Below are 10,304 nucleotides of genomic sequence, written 5' to 3' on the forward strand. Positions count from 1 at the left end.
AAAAAGTCCCGGCCTTGAAAGGGGTGGAGACTGGCGGGCGGGAGCGAAAGGAGGTCAGACCCATGGCTGGGGTCGCACACGCATCACCTGAGGTCGGAGAGGAGGGGAGCCTCACTTCCTCTGACCCACTGAGCCTGGTGGCAGCGTGCGGAGAGATGTCACCATCCCGGACTAAATGAAATCCAACTTTCCCTGACGCACCTTGTGGGATCAAAGAGGGGTGTTCCCATGCTCACCTTTCGCCACTTCCTCCCTGGGGTATCTCCACCTCTCCAACACAAGCTCAATGCCAGTTCTCTTTGGGATGTTTTTGTGCAGGGGGTGTGACCTCCCTCATAAAGGAACCCCCACTCCCAAGTTTTCCCCTCTTGTCAGTGGAACCTGTGACCAACGGTTCCTTCCTGTCCTTTTCCTCCCTGAAAGTAGCCCGGGGGCATTCGAACATGGCTCTAGACCCCTGAATAGGGTTTGGAGCGGAGATGTGCCTGGGGAGAAGAGATCGCAGTGCTGTGTATGAAGCTTTGGGCACGTGCTCACAAGAGCACACACAGCAACCTGAGCAGGTCATTCCTTTTGATAAGGATGACAAATACACATACCAAACCCTGTTCCCCTCACCCACCCCAAACCAGTACCCCCAGGATGATTCCAGATCAGCTCTGGAGCATTTGCATCAAGGGCCTGCAGACTCACAGGACCTACTAGAGCAAAATATCAGTGTCTCAGACCCCAGTTTTGGCCTCAAATACTGGGTTTTTCTGCCAGGAGAAGTAGCTGCTAGTCTAGGAAATGCTGGGACTTGTCCAGAAAGATGAGGTTTGTGAATACGGGGTGTGGGGTTGGGTGGGGAATTAAGGCTGATGTATCTGGAGGAACTTTGGTTGGGCTGGAGGCAACTTCTGCCCTGTTCTATTCAACAGTTCCCTCCCCTCCACTACCCCATTTAATCTGGCCACAGCTCAGCTACCTGTGTATAAAATCTTGATCTCTCTCCTATTTCCTTTCTACCTTCCGTGTTTTTACTTACTCGAAAACTGTTCCCCTCTCCTGTGTGTATTTTTTTAATTGAAATATACCAGGCATTTAGGAAAGGAACACGAAACCTAAGTGTACAGGTCAACAAATGATGACACAGTGAACACCCCCATATGACCACCATCCAGATCTAGAACGAGATCATTATTGGCATCCCAGATACCCTCCTTCTATCCGCTCCTGGTGACTATGCCACACTCCTTCTCAAAAGTAACGTTTATCTAACACTACAGGTTAGTTTTGCTTACTTCTGAACTTTATATACATGGAACCATTCAGTAGGTATTATTTTGTGTCTGGCTTCTCTCACTCAATACTATGTTTATGAAACTCATCCAAAACATTGTGGTAGCAGTAGCTTATTTGTTTTCATTGCCGTACGGTATGCCATTAAATAAATATACCACAATTTATCTGTTATTCTGTTGACGGACATTTTGGTTGTTCCTACTTTGGGGTTATTATGAATAAGGCTGCGATAACGTTTTTGTTCATGTCCTTTGGTACACTTACGTTCATATTTATACTAGATATATACCTAGGAATAGAATTACTGGGTCATAAAAGGATATGCATATTTTTAGCTTTAGCAAATGCGACTAAACAATTTTTCAAAGTGCTCATATTAATTTACACTCCTGCCAGCAGCGTCTTAGTGTTCCAGTTGCTCTATATTCTCATTAACACTTGATATTGTCAATCTAGAAAAATTAAAAAATTTAGCCATTCTGGTGGGTGTATAGTGGTATTGTAGTTTAAATTTGCTTTATCCTGATAACCAATGAAGTTGACCACCTTTCCATGCATTTATTTGACCCTTGGATATCTGTTCAAGTATCATGTCCATTTTCTATTATTCTATTCCTTCTGTCTTACTACTTTTTTTTTTTTTTTTTGAGATGGTATCTTGCTCTGTTGCCTAGGCTGGAACCTCTTGGGTTCAAGTGATTCTCCTGCCTCAGTCTCCTGAGTAGCTGGGACTACAGGCACATGCCACCATGACAGGCTAATTTTTGTATTTTTGATAGAGACAGCGTTTCACCATGTTGGCCAGGCTGGTCTCTAACTCCTGACCTCAAGTGATCCGCCCGCCTTGGCCTCCCAAAGTGCTGGGATTATAGGTGTGAACCACTGAGCCCAGCCCTGTCTTACCACTTTGTAGGAGTTCTTTATGAATATCAGATACGAGTCCTTTGTTGGTTATAGGTATTGCAAATATTTCTATGAGTAAATAAATACAAAAGCCCTTGGTTTTGGTGTCTTCTGAAGTGTCAGGGCCACTGGAACAAGAATATAATCTCTATATCTATTTTGATCACTAGTGTAAACCCAGCTCCTGGCACATAGTAGGTACTTAATAAATATGTTGAATGAATGATGGATGAGGTGGATAAAGCTGATGTAGGTACTTTGCTCTGTATTGTGCTGATCCCTAGAGTCAAACACCAAGAGGACCTGGGGGAAGCAGATTTCCTCTGGCTTAGCCAGCTGTGACCTTAGGAAGAGGAAGACATCCTGGCCCTTCTCTACTGAAAGAGCAGAAATAGCTACAGTCTGTGAAATGATGAGCACAGATGTAGGGAGCGGAGGTCACAGATGAAAAGACAGGAACTACCAGCAAGTAGCAGGCCAGCCAGATACTTCAGAAGGAGAGACGCAGTTGGGGGTATCAAAAAGATAGTGAGGGTCTCTGAGCATCACTGTGGACCTTTGTATGACAAGAACCTCCAAAGGTCATGTGGACTCTCTCTTGCCTCAAGACATGCCCAGTCTTTGAGCTTGTTAGCCAAGAGAGCTCTTCCACACCTAGAAACACATTTCTTTCTCCAAAGGAGGTTCCCTGAAACTTTGGTTGGAGGGTCTTATTCCTAACCTGCATTGGGCAACTCTTTTTTTAAAATCAGCTTTAACTTCCTCATGGCCTGTAATGTCCATCCTGAATATGGAAGACCACCGAATCAGCCTCTTCTCCATGCACTGTTTTCATAGGCCTGTTGCATTCTACAGCGTTTTTCTCTTGCTGTGTTTCTCTCCAGCATCCTTGACCAGCTCTGGTCAAGAGTCTCACTGATTCCTGTTACTCTGGGAGACAGAAATTTCCCCTTGCACCACCCTAACAAACTCACAGCATCCCCTCCTCATGTCTTTCAGAACATAATGTGGCATTTAACTAGAAGCTAGTAGTAGCACCCCAAATTTTTATATAAACTGAGCTTGGGGACGCCATCTAGTTGGAGAGAGGCTGGGTGACTTGTCATGAAACATCATTTGTATAGCAAGCACAGTGTTTTCATTTAGAATATGAGCATATGTTGGGTGTGGGGTGGGAAAGAGTGTTGTGGCAAAAGGAATTGTTGATCACTCCACAGGCAGGGGCCTGTGGAGGAGCCTGTGTGGGAAGGTCCTCTGTGGGGCAGCATTCTTCAGTCTTGCTTGGCACTTGTCCTAATATGTGGTTAATTTAGCCTCTATCCTGAGGTTCTCTTAGCCCCATGGCCTTCCTTCTGGGCCAAGTACTGTCTACCAATGGCTTCTCCATAGACTACCTGAATACTCATCTTGAGACATCATAAAATTCCAGAGCCCCATAGATCCTGGACCCCCTAACCAGCATGGCTAGTTGTAAGACTAGCCTGACGTGGCTGGAAACTTTTCTATCTTTTGTTCTGTGGGGGAGGGTGCCCCCTCCCATTTTTCCCCTTGCTGTGACCCCTCCGCTGCTCCCTCCCTCCCAGAGGTCAACTTCTTTCCTGCTGCCCAGAGCTGAGGTGACATCCCCTTCCGGCTTCATTCAGTTTTAGGAGGATGTAGTGATGGGGGTGGGATAGGGAAGTGTGGCCATCTGTGCTCAGCACTGTCATCATTCCCTTTGCTTCTCTATAACTGAGCTCCCTTTCCCCAAAGCCCCCTGGATACCCACCCTGGGATTCCCTTAGGCAGGATGGTTCCAGGTATTTGGAGCTGCAGCTCTGAATTTACTGAGTATAGCTGGGAAGCCTTGACAGCAAACAAAATGGTCTGGTGAACTATAACTGGGGATAGAAAAGTAATCTTTGAGAGGCAGTGCTGCAGAGTGGAATATGCCACAGCATTGTAATCACATGGATTTGAATCCATGAATGGCTCAGCAATTCATTAGGCACATGACCTTGGGCCATGTCTATCAAATGGAGACATAATTCCCTTTCTGCAATATATGTTCCATGGTGAGCAGTTCTATGCAAACCTACCCCCAAAGTCTGAGAAAGCTCAGAGGCCAAAGAGGCTGACAAATCTGGTTTCTTGAAAGAAGCATTTAATAGGGACTTGCGAACAGAAGCCCTGTCTATATCCCGGACAGCAGTAAGACCAGGGCTTGAATACCTTATAAGGAAGGAATACCTATACCTTACAGGGAAGGAATGTGTAGGACAATTGTAGGGAAAGGCGAGAATGCTATGTGAAGTTCCCTAAGGGCAGGATTTATGGTCAGTTGTTTTAACCTAAGAGCAGGATTTATGATAAGTATATGGTCTTACCAAGGAATAGTAGATAAAATAGAAATCTTAGAGGCATTTCCAGAACTGGAGTTAATCAGAAGTCAACATGGTGGATTAGCATCCAAGATGGAGTTGCATTAGCCTTCACAGATGATGAGAGGATTAGGATAATATAGCATTTGGAACATTCCCTGCACGCAGTAGGACTGTTAAGATCTCACCAAAGAGAAACAGCCAATAAACAGGGATTAGGCACTTGGAACGGGCAGCTCAGGCTTTTTCTGGGCCTCACGTGAAATTTTAGACTTCCCAGAGTGTGAGGGCATGCCTACCTGGAAAGGGTTAATGATGGACAGTCTCTTACATAGATGCAGGTAGGAGCTAATAGGGGCAGCAACCCCACAGTGGGTCACAAGCCAAAGATGAGCAAACTTTATCTTGCAAGAGCCAGGATGCAAAAAGACTGTATCTTGCAAACCAGATTACCTAGTTTCAAACTGCCCTCTGTGTTTACTGCCTACTGCTCTAGGATTATCCTCTAGACCAGGGTTTCCTAAACTGGCCTGGTCATAGGAATCACCTGTTGGGAACTTCTTTTAAAATATAGATTTCCAGGCCTCTTTCCTGGAAATTCTGTTTCCAAACGTCTGGTGCTGGGCCAGGAAACCTACCCTTTTAAATAAGTGCCCCAGGTGACTCCCATGATCCTACTGGGTTGGGAAACTGCCCCAGTCTGGTGGTTCTCAGTCCTGGCTGCATATTAGAATCTCCTGGGGAGCTTTAACAAAAATATACCTTTGTCACAGGAGGAAACACTGTGACAAAGGTATATTTTGTCACAGGAAGGCAAGGCTCAGGAAGTCTTCAAAGACATGGAGGTGCTTTGATTGAATCTGACTGTGTGGGTTTATATGCAAACTCATTTAATCCTAATAATTACCCTAGGAGGTAGGCTGTTGCAATATATCAGGTGGAAAATGAGGTCAGTGGGTTGGAGAATGGTAAATAGATTTAAAAGTTATTTAGGTTAGTTGTTAGAGAATTGCAAATCAAAACCACAATGGGATACCACTTCATATCCAGTAGGTTGGCCATAAAAAAAAAAGAGAGAAAATAACAGAAAATGACAAGTGTTGGTGAGAGTGTGGAGAAATTGGAACCTTGTCCATTTGCTGGTGAGAATATAATGTGGTGCAGCTGCTATAGGAAACAGTTTGATGTTTCTTCAGAAGGTTAAACACAGAATTACCATATCACTGAGCAATTTCATTCCTAAGTATATGCCTAAAAGAATTGGAAATGGGAAAGAATTATTCCAGTTAGAGAGAACAGAGTGAAATGGCAGGAAGGCAAGGGAGAATTTGGCATTTTCAAGGAACAGCAGGTTCTTCAACATGTGGTTGGATGCACGTAGGGACGTGTTAAATGAAAGATGAAATGGTAGGCTTTGGTGATATGTTACAGAGCTGAAGGCTTCTTTGACATGAACGTATTGTTTTATGCTTGATCACAAAGTCCTTGAACACAGAGACTTTATATTTTAAAATTTATATTAATTTTGAAATACCTTATATTTTAAAATTTCTGTGATGTTTGCTGACACCTTGTAATTTACACATCTGGGCCTTCTTTCTCTGTCAGACCGTTACATATGGAGTCTCATTCACTTGCATAGTGTCCATTTATGATGCTCTGTTCATGATGCCCAAATATCTTTGTCTTAGACTTCTCTTCTGAGCTCTGAACTTGGATGTCTCAGCACTTCCAACTTGTGATATCCAAAATGCGCTAGTTCTCTCCCAGATGTCTATTTCTTATTCTGTCTTCTCCATCCCAGAAAAGAGGATTCCCTCGCCCATTTGTTTGTCAGCCATCTGGGAGTCATTCTTGACTCCTTCCTCTACTTCCCCGCCTCCTCGCCCACCACCCATCAATCACCATTTGCCATCCATCGACTCTACCTCCTAAATAACTTTTTTTTTGGATTTATTTATTTTTTGAGGTAAAATTCACATAACATGAATTTAACCATTTTAAAATGTACTATTCATTGGTGTTTATTATATTGATAGTGTTGAACAACCATCACTCTGTCTAGTTTTAAGACATTTTCATCACCCCAAAAAGAAATCCTGTATCCATTAGCAGTCAGTACCCACTCTCCCCTTCCCTCCCCTCCTCTCCCTGCTTAGTCAACCACTAGTCAGTTTTTGTCTCTATAGATTTCCCTATTTTGGATATGTCATATACATGGAACCATGCAATATGTAACTTTCTGCGAATGGGTTTTTTTACTTAACTTAATTTTGTTGTTGTTGTTTTATTTTTTGCCCTTAAATATTCTTCTATCCAGATGTTTTCAAGGTTCAACCACATCGTAGCATAGATCAATACTTCATTCCTTTTTATGGATAAATAATATCCCATTGTATGGATACAACACATTTTGTTTATCCATTCATCCATGGATGGACATTTGGGTTGTTTTCACCTTTTTTGATTGTGAATAGTCCTCTGTGAACATTCATATATAAGCTTCATTTGAATATCTTTTGTTTAATTTCTTTTGACCATATACCATTGTTGGGTGATATGGCAATTCTGTTTACTTTTTTTTTTTTTTGAGATGGAGTTTCACTCTTGTTGCCCAAGCTGGGGTGCAATGGTATGATCTTGGCTCACTGCAACCTCTGCCTCCTGGGTTCAGGTAATTCTCCTGCCTCAGCCTCCTGGGAGTAGCTGGGATTACAGGCATGCACCACCATGCCTGGCTAATTTTTTGTATTTTTAGTAGAGACAGGGTTTCACCATGTTAGCAAGGCTGGCCTCCAACTCCTGACCTCAGGTGATCTGCCCGCCTTGGCCTCCCAAAGTGCTGGGATTACAGGTGTGAGCCACTGTGCCTGGCCTTTTTTTTTTTTTTTTTTAACCTAGGTTGAACTTGAACTCTTGAGCTCAAGCCATCCTCCTGCCTCAGCCTCTCAAGTAGCCAGGATGACAGGTACACACCACCATGCCCAGCCTATGTTTAACTTTTTGAAGAAACACTAAACTGCTTTCGATAGCTGCTGCACCATTTTACATTCCCGCCAGCAAGGTACAAGGGTTCCAGTTTCTCCACATCCTCACCAACATTTATTATTTTACATTTTGGATTATGGCCAACCTAGTGGATGTGAAGTGGTATCCCACTGTGATTTTGATTTGCATTTCCCAAATGACTAACCTAAGTAACCTTCTAATTTGCCTACTTCATAGGGTAATTATTAGGATTAAATGATTATATATATATATACACATGCATACACACACACATGTGACTTAGAACAGTGCCTGGCATATAATAAATAATGTATAAGTATTAAAAAGAAAGTAGAAAAAGGAACAAAAGAACAGAAGGAAAGAAGGACCTCTTAGCTATACTTTCTTTCTTACTGTCCTAAGTCAAAGCCCACAATTCCACTCCTAATTTACAAGGCCCCAACTGGACTTCTTTTCTTTTCTTTTCTTTTCTTTAGCCAGAGTTTCACTCTTGTTGCCCAGGCTGGAGTGCAATGGCGCAATCTCGGCCCATCGCAACCTCCGCCTCCCGGGTAAAAGCGATTCTCCTGCCTCAGCCTCCTGAGTAGCTGGGATTACAGGCATTCGCCACCACGCCTGGCTAATTTTGTATGTTTAGTAGAGATGGGGTTTTTCCATGTTGGTCAGGCTGGTCTTCAGCTCCCGACCTCAGGTGATCCTCTGCCTTGGCCTCCCAAAGTGCCAGGATTACAGGCATGAGCCACTGTGCCTGGCCAACTCCTTTCATTTCATGAAGGTTTCAGGCTCTCATTTGCCTTATAGTCTTTGTCTACTGTATTCCCTGTCTGGCACAATTCTCTCCCTTGTCCCCCAACTCTTTGCCTAGCTAACTCACTGTTTTTTTGTTTGTTTGTTTTGTTTTTAAATTTAAGAGTTTTTTTGAGGTATAATATGCAATAAACAGCACAGATTTAAGGTGTACAATTTGATGTTTTGACATGTGTATACATCAGTAAAACATCACTACAATCAAGATAAAGAGTATATCCATGACCCCTGTGTTTCTTCCTGCTTCTTTTAATCTTTCTCTCTCAACCCATGCGTTGGGCCACCTGCCGTCTGTCACTACAGATGTTTTTCATTTCTAGAATTTCATATGAATGGAATCATGTAGTATATATCTTTTTTGTCTGATTTCTCTCATTCAGCATACTTATTCTGAGATTTATCCATGTTATGTGTATCAACAGGTTGTTCCTTTCTGCTGTTGAGTAGTGTTCCATCATATGGATGCACCTGTTTGTTTATTCATTCACCTGTTGATGGACATTTCAGTTGTTTCCAGTTTGGGGCTATTACAAATAAGGCTGCTATATGCAATGTGTGCAAGCCTTTTTAGGGGTATATATTTTCATTTGTTTTTGTTTTTCAAGTTTTGTTTTAGACTCAGGGGTACCTGTGCAGGTTTGTTAACTGGGTATACTGTGTGATGCTGACGTTTGAGGTATGAATGATCTTGTTACCCAGGTACTGAGCATAGTACTCAACAGTTAGTTTTTCGACCTTGTTCCCCTTTCCTTGCTCCCCTCCAACAGTCCCCAGTGTCTATTGTTGCCATCTTTATGTCCATGACTACCCAAACTTGTAAGTGAGCACATGTGCTATTTGGTTTTCTGTTCCTGTGTTAACTTGCTTAGGACAATGGCCTCTGGCTGCATCCATGTTGCTACAAAGGACACGATTTTGTTTTTTTTTTTTATGGCTGCATAATATTACATGGTGTATATGTACATTTTCTTTATCCAAACCACCACTGATGGGCACCTAGGTTGATTCCATGTCTTTGCTATTGTGAATAGTGGTGTGATGAACATGTGAGTGCACGCGTCTTTTTGGCAGAATGATTTGTTTTCTTTTGGATGCATATCCAGTAGTGGGATTGCTGGGTCAAATGGTAGTTCTGTTTTAAGTTCTTTGAGAAATCTCCAAACTGCTTTCCACAGTGGCTGAACTAATTTACATTCCCACAAAGAATGTGTAAGTCTTCCCTTCTCTGTAGCCTCGTCAACATCTGTTGTTTTTTGACTTTTTAATAACTGCCATTCTGGTTGGTGTGTGATGGTATCACACTGTGGTTTTGATTTGCATTTCTCTGATGATTAGTGATGTGGAGCATTTTTTTCATAAGTTTGTTGGCTGCTTGTATGTCTTCTTTTGGAGAGTGTCTGTTTATGTCTTTTGCACATTTTTTAATCGGGTTATTTGTTTTTTGCTTTTTCAATTGTTTCAGTTCCTTATAGATTCTGAATATTAGACCTTTGTTGGATGCAAAGTTTGCAAATATTTTTTCCCATTCTGTGCTTTGCCTAGCTAACTCTTACTCAACTTTGAAGTCTCAGCTTCAGTCATGACTTCCTCACCAGAGGCTTTCCTGATTTTCCAGACCAGGCACCATGTGGTATATAAAATAACACCTTATCTCTCAGACCCAGGCAAGAAAGCCCCCTGCCTCGAACTTAATGCTTTAGAAGGCATCATATAATATAACCACAAAGGAAATAAATCCATTAAAAACACAGAGATGCTTCTGTCCCTTGGGATTCTGTGCTCAGCACTGGCACAGAACAACCAGTAACACTGAACACACATTACTGAGTCTAATACAGTTCAGGCTCCGGAGGTCACTTCTTTATATATCTTGTTCTGTCTCATTTATTTAAGTTGATAGATAAACACTGTATGCATTTATTGTGTACATGATGTTTTGAA

The sequence above is a fragment of the Homo sapiens genome, chromosome 1 (assembly GCF_000001405.40).
Source record: "Homo sapiens chromosome 1, GRCh38.p14 Primary Assembly".
Classification (NCBI taxonomy): domain Eukaryota; kingdom Metazoa; phylum Chordata; class Mammalia; order Primates; family Hominidae; genus Homo; species Homo sapiens.